Source organism: Homo sapiens, chromosome 2 (assembly GCF_000001405.40).
Source record: "Homo sapiens chromosome 2, GRCh38.p14 Primary Assembly".
Taxonomy (NCBI): Eukaryota; Metazoa; Chordata; class Mammalia; order Primates; family Hominidae; genus Homo; species Homo sapiens.
The window spans coordinates 213,512,079-213,524,230 of record NC_000002.12 but is presented as its reverse complement, the minus strand read 5'-3'; the positions used below and the strand labels follow the sequence as shown (position 1 = coordinate 213,524,230).

Here is a 12,152-nt window from a genome sequence, read left to right as displayed (position 1 = left end):
CTACATGGAAGCTGCCAAGGCTTGGGCTTGAATCCTCTGAAGCCACAGCCTGAGCTTTACCTTGGGTTCTTGTAGCCATGGCTAGAGCAGCTGGGACACAAGGCACCAAGTCCCTAGGCTGCACACAGCAAGGGGGCCCTGGTCCCAGCCCACAAAACAATTTTTTCATCCTAAGTCTCTGGGCCTGAGATGAGAGGGGCTGCTAAGAAAGTCTCTGACATGCCCTGGAGACATTCCCATTATCTTGGAGATTAACATTCAGTCTCTTGCTACTTATGCAAATTTCTCCCCAGAAAATGGGGTTTTCTTTTCTATTGCATTGTCAGGCTGCAAATTTTCCAAATTTTTATGCTCTGCTTCCTTTGAACACTTTGCCACTTTGAAATTTCTTCTGCTAGACACTGTAAGTCATCTATCTCAAGTTCAAAGTTCCACAGATCTTTAGGGCAGGGGCAATATACTGCCAGTCTCTTTGCTAAAGCATAACAAGAATCACCTTTGCTTCAGTTCCCAAGTTCCTTATCTCTACCTGAGACCACCTCAGCCTGGACTTCATTGTTTGTATCACTATCAGCATTTTGGTCAAAGCCATTCAACAAGTCTCTAGGAAGTTCCAAACTTTCCCACATCTTCCAGTTTTCTAAGCCCTCCAAGTCTCTAAGAAGTTCCAAACTTTCCTACATTTTTCTATCTTCTTCTGAGCCCTCCAAACTGTTCCAACTTCTGCCTGTTACCCAGCTTCAGAGTCACTTCCACATTTTTGGGTATCTTTATAGCAGTACCCCACTCTACTGGTACCAATTTACTGTATTAGTCTATTCTCATGCTTCTAATGAAGACATACCTGAGTCCGGGTAATTTATAAAAGAATGAGGTTTGATTAACTCACAGTTCCACATCGCTGGGAAGGCCTCAGGAAACTTACAATCATGGTGGAAGCGGAAGCAAACACATCCTTCTTCACATGGCGGCAGAAAGGAGGATTGCCAAGCAAAAGGGGGAAAAGCCCTTTATAAACAATCAGATCCTGTAAGAAATCCCTCACTATCACGAGAACAGCAGCATCAGGGTTACTGCCTCCATGATTCAATTACCTCCCACTGGGTCCCTCCCATGACATGTGAGGATTATGGGAACTACAATTCAAGATGAGATCTGGGAGGTGACACAGCCAAACCATATCAATTAGTAATTGGGAAATCAAGTATTTTAGACAAAGTGTTTTAAATTTAATAAGACAAGGGCTATTAATAGTTATTAAATTAACAATAATTAGTTGCCTCTGCCTCTCCATAATTTTGAACAAATATAAATACATACATTTATATATGTAATTTAAATATATTCTAAAATGCCTAAAACATATATATATTAGTTTTTTTATATATATGTTTGTTATATATATATAAGTTTGTTATATATATATATATATTTGGCATGTAAGTTTTGGGCATTTTAGAATATATTTAAATTTCATTTACAGATCTCTCTCAAACTAAGTCCTGAAATTATATTTGTGGTAGACACAAAGATGTGCTGCCCAGACCCCCATTTCAAGAAAGGATTTGCTGCCCAGTGTTGGGGTGTGCAAACAGCAGATGGTCTCCAGCTGTCAGCTTCTTCACCTTCTCTGTCTCAGCCACAGAGAGCCAACTTGTATAAGGTCATATTCCTCCAGGGACCAGTAACTGAGAGAGGCAGGGGTGTAAAGGCCAAACCATTTCAGTCAGATGTGGGGCATAACCCCACTGGATTGCCTGAGGCTTTGTCCACTTTTCCCTCTGCCCAGTTCTCTCTTCCCACCCCCCTTTTTAAATAGCTGTTGACAGGATTGCCTCTAGAAATTAGGTAGCCCAAGCAAATATTTTTTGTTAGGTTCCTGTCTACATGAACAATTTTACTTAAAATATATTGTCTCATGTGAAATACCTTGATTTGTCAATAAAGCTTTCGAATAATGGAGAGTGAAAAGTGTTTACATCTGTGTTTATTATCCAATCAACAAACTTAAAGATTCCTTATAGTGGCCAGGCCCCCATCTCCTCCTATTCAGGACCTGGAACAATTTCTTTGTTCTTTTCTGTCAAATATGCCATTCCTGGCTAATTTCTTACAGCCAGCCACAGGAAAAAGATAGCAATGCTATAGATCTTTAGAACCTCTTTATATTGAACAATATAGATGTTCTTGGCTCTGCAGTTCCCTAATTCCATTTATTTGATGCTCACACTATTGCTTATAAGGCTGCATCATCCATCATGAATATTGGTTTCCAATGATACTCCCAAAAGATATTGCTATGCTTCATTGATGTTGACCACAAATGCAAGTCTTCCCAGGGCACGCAGAAAAGCATAAACAATAATTTACTTTGTAGTCATGCTAACTTTACCATTTGTAATGGTAACACATAAATTTTAAACAACACATTACAGCATGGGAGTACTATAAATGTAAAATGACACATTTCCAAACATGACTATTGTGAACTCTTCAGACCACAATGAGTACATTTCTAAAATAAGAGTTTTTTTGATATTGACATTGGCCTTCTGCAGACCAACACCAGCAGGGAGATTAGGTTAGGAACACATCAGTAGTTCCATTCATGCAAGAATATCTGTCCTGCATCAGGCATGGCTTAACACTGACCTAGAAGTGCACGACATACAAACATGGATTGGACACAAGAAAAAACATGAACCAGAGGGTCCACTGGCATTGTGGAGCAAGAGAATAAAAAGCAAAAGCTCTCAGGGGAGATAGGCTCTAACATCCTGGAAGTCTTCCTGAAATATGCTGACAAGCCTGAAGAGAAGGTGTGGTGATTGTCCTTGGGTGCTACAGACTAGAATCAGCACTGCAAGTCAGAATGAAAACAGGTGAGAACCTAGGCAAAAATTGGCAAGAGCCCACACCTGGATCTTTGAATTGTCATATGTCCAATGTGAATGAGAAGTCACCCCAAATCAGCATGGTTCCAGTAGCTCAATCTTCCATGATCGTGTAAAAGAATTATCATACCAGTAAGCAGAAAACATCCACCAACCAGGCCACCTTCCTGGAACCAGAACCCAGACATTAAAGTCCTGAAAAGATGCCATCAACACAAGTTCATGAGCTCCACAGGGCATTGGGTTGAATCCACACACACATAAGAGGATCAGAGAGGACTCCAAAAATGATAAATTGAGATACGGTAACCTGCCAATCAAAGCATCTGGCAGATGGCACTCCCAGCCCCAGACATCCCCTGGCACCAAAGAAAGACCCAAAAATGTCAAGGAAGTCACTCCAAATGGTAGGACCTCTGAGGATCAAGAGCAGGATTTGTCCAAGTCTAAGGGCAGTACTGACTGTTGATCTTTAATAGATATACCTGAATCTCCAACTGAGTGACTGATCCCAAGAATTATGTGACAATAATTCACTTAGGTAATTACATGAAATAATTACAAGTTACTTAAGTGAACAATAAAAGCAAAACTTGTGGAATGCTTTGTATTTTTTGGAAAGATTTTGTTTCCAAGTTTATGAACAGAGCAATTAGAACACAGTAGTAGTCTCCTAGGGCTGTTGTAACAGAGTAATACAAGTTGGATGGATTAAAACACCAGAGATTTATCTTGTCTTTTTTGAGATGGAGTCTTGCTCTGTCACTCAGGCTGGAGTGCAGTGGTGTGATCTCGGCTCACTGCAAGCTCCGCCTCCCAGGTTCACACCATTCTCCTGCCTCAGCCTCCAGAGTAGCTGGGACTACAGGTGCCCACCACCACGCCCAGCGAATTTTTTTTTTTTTTGTATTTTTAGTAGAGACGGGGTTTCACCGTGTTAGCCAGGATGGTCTCAATCTCCTGACCTCGTGATCTTCCCGCCTCAGCCTCCCAAAGTGCTGGGATTACAGGCGTGAGCCACCACGCTTGGCCAAGATTTATCTTTTACAGTTCTGGAGGCCATAAGTCTGAAATCAAGGTACGAGCACAGCATATTCCTTCTGGAGGCTGTGAAAGAGAAACCATCCCATGACTTTCTCCTAACTTCTGGTGGTTGCCAATAGTCCTGGTCATTCCTTGGCTTGTGGTAGCATAACTCCAATCTCTGCCTCTGTCATCACTTAGCATTCTCTCTCTCTCTCTCTCTCTCTTGCTCTTGCTCTCTCTCTCTCCTCTCTATTTCTCTCTCTCTCTCGTGTGTGTGTGTGTGCACGCACATGCATATGTGTATGTGTTTGTGCGTATGTTTGTGTCTCTTCTTTTCTAATAAGGACATCAGTCATACTGCATTAGGGCTCATGCTAATCCAAAATGTCCTCAACTTGTTTACACCTACAAAAATGTTATTTCCAAATGTAATCACATTCACAGGTACAGGGGATTAGAACTTCAACATATTGTTTTGGGAGACACAATTCAACTCAAAACAAAGAGTATACTATGAAAACATGTGTGCTTTCATTTTTTTTTTGTATGATTGCTACAGAAGAATTACATACAAAGGCACTATATATTGCTGAAGAGAGTTTGTTTCTAGGAGTAAATGTTAACATTCTTAGGCATAATTTTAATCAAAGGCATATTAGTTCATTTTCATGCTACTGATAAAGACATACCTGAGACTGGCAATTTACAAAAGACAGAGCTTTAATTTGACTTACAGTTCCATATGGCTGGGGAAGACTCACAATCATGGCAGAAGGCAAGAAGAAGCAAGTCACATCTTATGTGGATGGCGGCAGGCAAAGAGCTTTTGCAGGAAAACTCCTCCTTATAAAACCATTAGATCTCATGAGACTTATTCATTATCATGAGAACAGCAAAGGAAAGACCTGCCCCCATGATTCAATTATCTCCCACTGCATCCCTCCCACAACACATAGGAATTATGGGAGTACAATTCAAGATGAGATTTGGGTGGGGACACCAAGCCAAATCATATCAACAGGTGAAGGATAAAATGTTAAAGCTAACTTTTTTAAAAGTAAGGGTATGAATCAGTAGAAAATTTTAAGGTTTCTATTCAGCATTTCAGAAATGATTTTTTGGTTTTATAGCTACCTTTTTTTAGATACAGAGGGCACAAGTACAAGTTTGTTACTTGGGTATATTGCACTCGGGTAGTGAGCATAGTATGCAATAGGCAGTTTTTTGACCTAACCCCCCACCGGTAGTCCACAGTGTCTGTTATTCCCAAGTTTACGTCTATGTGTGCTCAATGTTTAGTTCTCATTTATAAGTAAGAACATGTGCTATTTGCTTTTAAATTCCTGCATTAATTTGCTTAGGATTATAGCCTCCAGCTCCAACCATGTTGCCACAAAGGACATGATTTCGTTCTTTTTATGGCTGCATAGTATTCCACAGTGTATATGTATAATATTTGCTTTATCCAGTCCACCATGGATAGCCACCTATGTCTATTCTATGTCTTTGCTATTGTGAATAGTGCAGCAATTAACATGCAAATGCATGTGTCTTTTTGGTTTTCCTTTGAGTATATACCTAGTAACAGGATTGTTGGGTTAAATGATAGCTCGTTTTAAGTTCTTTCAGAAATCTCCAAACTGTTTTCCACAGTGGCTGAACTAATTTACATTCCCACCACCACTGTACATGCTCCCTTTTCTCCATAGCCTCACCAGCATCTGTTGTTTTTTGACTTTTTAATAATAGCCAATCAGGCCAGCCATGGTAGCTCATGCCTGTAATCCCAGCACTTCAGGAGGTTGAGGTGGGAGGAATGCTTTAGCCCAGAAGTTCAGGGCCAGATTAGGCAACAAAGCAAAACCTTGTCTCTACAGGAAAAAAAAACCTGCCTCAGCATGTAGTCCCAGCTTCCTGTAGGAGGCTGAGGCAAGAGGATCCCTTGAGCCCAGGACTTTGCGGTTGCAGTAAGCGATGATCATGCTACCTGCACTCCAGCATGGGTAACAGAGTGAGAACATGCCTCAAATAATAATAGCCATTCTGCCTGGTGTACGATGGTTTTGCATCATGGTTTTGATCTGCAATTCTCTGATGATGGCAGATGATGAGCATGTTTTCATATGTCTGTTGGCCACTTGTATGTGTTGTTTTGAAAAGTGTCTATTCAGGTCCTTTGCCCATTTATCAGTGGGGTTATTTGTTTTTTGCTTGTTAAGTTTCTTACAGATTCTAGATACTAGGCCTTTGCCAGATGCATAGTTTGTGAATATTTGCTCCCATTCTGTAGGGTGTCTATCTAGTTTATTGATAATTTCTTTTGTTGTACAGAAACTCTTCTATTTAATTAGGTCCTACTTGTCAATTTTTGTTTTTGTTGAAGTTCCTTTTGGTGCCTTAGTCCAAAAATCTTTGCCAAGGCCCATCTCAAGAAGGGAACTTCCTAGGGTTTTCTTCTAGAATTTTCATAGTTTTAGGTCTTACATTTAAATCTTTAATCCATCTTGAGTTAATTTTTGTATATGGTAAAAGGTAAGGGTCCAGTTTCATTATTCTCCATATAACGGGCCGATTGTCCCAGCACTATTTATTGAACAGGGAGCCCTTTCTCCATTTGTTTTTGTCATCCTTGCCAAAGATCAGATGTGTGTGGCTTTATTTCTGAGTTTTCTATTCTATTCTGTTCCACTGGTCTATGTGTCTGTTTTTATACAAGTGCAATGATGTTTTGGTTCCTGTAGCCTTATAATATAGTTTGAAATTGGGTAGTATGAAGTGTTCAGCTTTGCTCCTTTTGCTCAGGATTGCTTTGAATATTCAGGCTCTTCTTTGGTTCCATATGAATTTTAGGATAGCTTTTTCTACTTCTGTGAAAAATGACATTGGTAGTTTGATAAGAGTAGTGCTGAATCTGTAAATTGCTTTGGGCAGTATGGTCATTTTAACAATGCTGATTCTTCCAAGCCATGAACATGGAATGATTTTCTCTTTATTTGTGTCATCTCTAATTTATTTCAGCAGTGTTTTGCAATTCTCCTGGTAGAGATCTTTCACCTCTTTGGTTAGCTGTATTCCTAAGTATTTTGTTTTCTTTGCCGCTGTTGTAAATGTTATCATGCTCTTGATTTGACTCTCAGCGTGGGCATTACTGGTATATAGAAATACTACCAATTTTTGTATGATTTTGGGTCCTGAAATCTTCCTAAAATTACTTATCAGTTTTATCAGCCATTTAGAAGAGACTCTAGAATTTTCTAGATATAGAATCATATCATCAGTGAAGAGACAGTTTGACTTATTTTCCTATTTCAATGCCTTTCATTTTTTTTCTCTTACTTGATTGCATTGGCTAGGACTTCCTCAGAAATGTTTTAATGCAAACGGTGATGGTAGATCACAGTGAATTAAATAAATTCATTAATATGAAAATCAATTATCATCTTGAAACTTTTTTCTATTTTTTCCATTTAATGAAAAACAACATAATTATTTTTCCAAAAAAGTATTTCTCATCAAATATACACATTTCTCAATGCTATACTCAAAGGCTACCTATGATAGGGAGATTTTTTGACATTCATTTCCACATCACAGTTTGCTTTAGGAGGCCCCCTTATGTGGTTATTGCATTATTTTTCTAAGTATGCCATACAGTTAGATTTTGAGTTCTTTGAGGACAGAGACTGTCTTTACTTCTGGAATTCTACCACCTAAAATAGTGCCTGGCACATATCAATAGCTAAATAGATATTCTGGAATGAAGGAGAAAATAAAAATAAGAAAAGACTTAGGGGTATATAGCGCAACCTTTAACCTTTCTCTGGAGTCAGACCTTCCAGAGGAAGTAAGAAATGTAGATTATTCTCTTTAAAAATAAAGAAGCACTAAGATAAGTTCATTTTTTTAAGAAAAAGATAAAATGTTACAAAAGAACTTGGGCTTCATTTTGTTATCAGATGTTAGTAACGTATGGGCACTTATTGAAGGGAAGAAATGATTGGACCTCAGTGGTGAATTGATTATTTTTATTATGCCATTACTTAAATACACACAAAGAAGTAAGTATAAATTTCCACAGCTGATGTGAATTCTAGAGTGTAATTTCAAGAATGCAAGAAATGTAGGTTCTTAATCTTTCTCTGCATTAGCTGAATTTTTCCTTTGAGCATAATTTCTTAGGGTTTCCCATTTTATGCCAACACTGGGGGTAACACCATAAAAGCCTAAATATCATCCGGCTTTATAGGCATCACTTAAATAATTTATCAATATATCACACAAGTCTCAGTGGAAACTTCTGGTTCCCTCCTCTCCCTATGGCCTATTTTGTTTCAATAGCTCTCTTTCTGCCACTTCATTTTCATTCTTGGGAGTACAGGAATCATTGAGCAATTCCTACTTCACACCGGAGGGCTGAAACTCTGTGATGGTATCTGTCTAGACACACAATGCAACAATTTCTTTTCTGGGGTCTTGTCAGGAAATGAAGAACAGATCTCTTGCATTCCTGGCTCCCATAAAATTATCTGAAGGTAAAGGGAAAAGGGGTGGATGAGTCTTAACTCATTATATTTGTTCTGATGTGCTGTAGCTATGCAGTGAGCCTTTTCTGCTCCTAAGCACTTTAAAGCGCCAAGGTAAGAAAGATATTTTTAAACTCCCCCATCTCCTTTTTCTGTCATATTTTTCCCCCAGGCATAAGTATAGAACCAAACTGTTTCAAATGGGATAAAGGAAATGGAAAAAAAGGAATTACATCATTTTAAAAAGCAGATAATATTTCAAAAACATTTTTTACTCACATACTTTATGCTCGCATCAGGGACACAGCAGGTGTACAAATATGGCTTAGGAAATACTCCAGTTGAGAGCAACAGGGCAATAGACTAGCTAGGGAGGTAGAGGATGAAGTATAGAGGACTTTGGTTTTTATCCTTAGGTAAAAGGAAGTCATCAATGTGACTTCCTCGCATCTAACAATGTGAGGCTGTTAAATAATGGGCTTTCTTGTTTTGAAAGAATTGAGTGACTTTGGAGGATAAAGTGCAGTTTGAAGATATCAGTAGGGGCTACTGAGTCCAAGAAAGACCTAATTTAAGTAACCTTTAAATTGATTCAGATAGAATGGGTTTATATATATATATACATACGTACTACTTATCTAATAGTTTGAATATTTATTTAGTTTATTTCAGAATTACATACAAGTTAGCTATTTTGCAGAAAATAAGACGCATAACACCTGACATGTTATTTTGAATAAAAATATAAATCTACCTCTAGGTGATAAAATTTGAATATGGTTATCAAGAGAGTTTAAAAACCCTTGATGCTTATAAGTGAACAATTATAATTCATCACATTAAGACAACTTTAGAAGAGCATCTGTGATTAATCTAGAAAAATGTGTAGGTTACTTATTATCAAAATGATTACATCCATCATAGTAAAATAACTTAATAGGATTCCATTTTAGGAATGCATAATAATTAATTATCTAGGTTATTAGAGCAATTAGCATAGATTTGTATCTTCACTAGCAAATAATTTCAGTGTTAAAATTATAATTTACTTTAGATTTCTGAGAATTTTAAAAGTTAAAAATATACTCATAGGTGGGAATTGAACAATGAGATCACATGGACACAGGAAGGGGAATATCACACTCTGGGGACTGTGGTGGGGTGGGGGGAGGGGGGAGGGATAGCACTGGGAGATATACCTAATGCTAGATGACGAGTTAGTGGGTGCAGCGCACCAGCATGGCACATGTATACATATGTAACTAACCTGCACAATGTGCACATGTACCCTAAAACTTAAAGTATAATAAAAAAAAATATGCCGACAAAATTATAAATTTCTAATAGTAATTTTTAATGAAGCAAATTATATTTTTAAATGATGTAAACTCTAATTATGATAATATTCTTATATTATCTTCAAAGTTGAGGGCTCACTGTATTTAGCCTAAACTTTCATCAAGAATGCAACATTTATTTAGGAAGTAAAGTCAACTGCATGGAGCACAGCATTATGAATAAATACCAAGGGCCCATTTCCTCAGCTTTCATGCACTTCTCCATAAACCATAATGTGAGAAATAATCTCATGACTTCTTTGGGACTATTTATACGGAGCTTCCAAGGACCATCTAATTTCTAAAATTAGCATCATTATAATCCTGTTTGGGCACTCCATCTTTTCAAAACTCTCTACTCTCTTTGTTCTGTGATACCATTCTGTCTTGATTCTTTGTCATACTCACGATAGATTAACTGTCTGGTATCTATTTACCGCTCCTTCCTCTCCTTACAAAATCCTAATTTTGTCTGGTTGCTCAATCCTCCTCCATACTTTCTGACCAAAGCTATAAGAAAAGATTTGCAATCTATGATTGAGAGAGAAGTTTTCTTCCTCTCTCCCACTGGATATAACATTTGCTGCTGCAAATGGCCTGTTAGTAATTACACAGGAAGCAGCCAACTCATAAATATGAAGGGGACCAGCTTAAGTATAAAATTATACAGCAAGCAGCCACCTCATAAATATGAAGGGGACCAGCTTAAGTATAAAGCAGAAAGACGATGTGACAGAGATTCCGCTATGTGCTTTAACTTTAGCACACATTGTCCAGTCTTCCTTGCATCTAGCTCTGAAAATGTATAACACTCCCAGGGCTGGCCATAAAACTCCCATCCCATTCTGTTTTCACCCTTCTCAAAATCTTGAAGGTCATGTGTCGAAGACACCAGTATTACAAAATTAGAAAGATCCTAAATCCCTGAGATTCCATGGGTCACCACTTGCAAAAAAAAAAGATGCTCAGAAAAGCTATCGAAATAGGAACATCTCCATTGCCCAGGTTTGAATGAGAAATAAACTTATTTTATAACTGTGTGAACCCCAAATTGCCTGAGAACATGCATAGAAATGGAATATTGGAAGCACAGATACAGAAGAGACTTCAAAAATTGTAGGTCCCCATCCTCAAAGTGGTGCATTCATTGAAGGTAGAATATGGTTCAGCCACAGTGTATGACCACGTTAGGTTTGGAATGAGCCTTTGAAAATATAGGGCATAGAGAAGCATAGAAGATATAAATGCTAAGTTCTTTACAAAACAGCAAGTCAAGGATAAAAAGACAAGCAATTAGGTGATAAAACAAGAAACAGACAAAACAAAACATACATACACACGTGACAGTGGAAAAGAGGATCATAGAACAGACAGCATGACATCAGGTATAGCTTTAAAAGGAGTTAGCTGAATGCATTACAACCAGACTCCATTAATGAATCTCCACAGGTTCCAGAAGCACTCTGAGGGCCCTAAAGAACTACCCTGCTGACAAAATTAATATGTATGGAAGATAAGAAAGCTGAGGATATCAGGAATTACCAGCAGCAGTTTGGGGCTATTTCCAGTCTTGGTGGGAGTGCCATAATGACTAGGTTTGATTGTTGGCAGTCTCTTTCAAGTCAATGAGGATTCAAAACTTCCAGTTCCCAATAAACGCAGGAAATGCCTGGAGATAGTACTTTATAATCTGTTCAGCAGAAAGTAATGATATGTGATGGGGGATACTTATTTTGGAAAATCCTGGCAGTGTTTGGTGAAACTGCTAGGGGCCAGATGGAGTCAATCTGACCTGCACAGTGCTGGGCTCTTAATCTCTTGGTTTAGCAGCCACACCCTTCTCTTGTACAAAGGTCCAGTGACAGCTCCAGTCTCCTAGCCGAATTTTTAGGGCTATAAATTAAAGTGCCAGTTCACACAAAGTTTATGCTATGTGATGTGAATCAATAGTTCTCAATCTTTCATCATTTTTTCCAGTAATTATATAGGAAGCAGTTCCCTCACATGGTCTTTAGTAATTAATACAGGAAGCACTTCCCTTACATGGCCTGATAGGTTTAGGGCTCTGTAGCTTGAGTGCAAAAAATAATTTTTTCTTGCAATACGATATGACAACTGATGTATACCTTGTTTCAAGTCCATTTTGTCTGTCTCTCTAACTTTATCATACTACAGAAAAATCAGTAAATGTATACTCCACCTTGTTCAAAAGTCTAGTTTGTTTATCTTCTTTCCCCTTTATATGCTTCTTTCCCTCATCATTGAATTTTAACTGAATTCTACCTCTTATTGCCTTTTCAGTGCCACTGAAAATTTGTTTCACCATTGCAATAACATACTGTAAGTATGACTGTTATTCATTGATAACCATG

The 12,152-nt window shown here is 38.1% G+C and overlaps 1 protein-coding gene across 19 annotated transcripts in view; it reads right to left on the bottom strand.

Annotated features, from left to right (window-relative positions):
* Window positions 1–12,152, bottom strand: part of SPAG16 (sperm associated antigen 16) — a 1,126,038-nt gene that overhangs the window by 886,271 nt on the left and 227,615 nt on the right. The gene's annotated exons all lie outside the window — the stretch shown is intronic.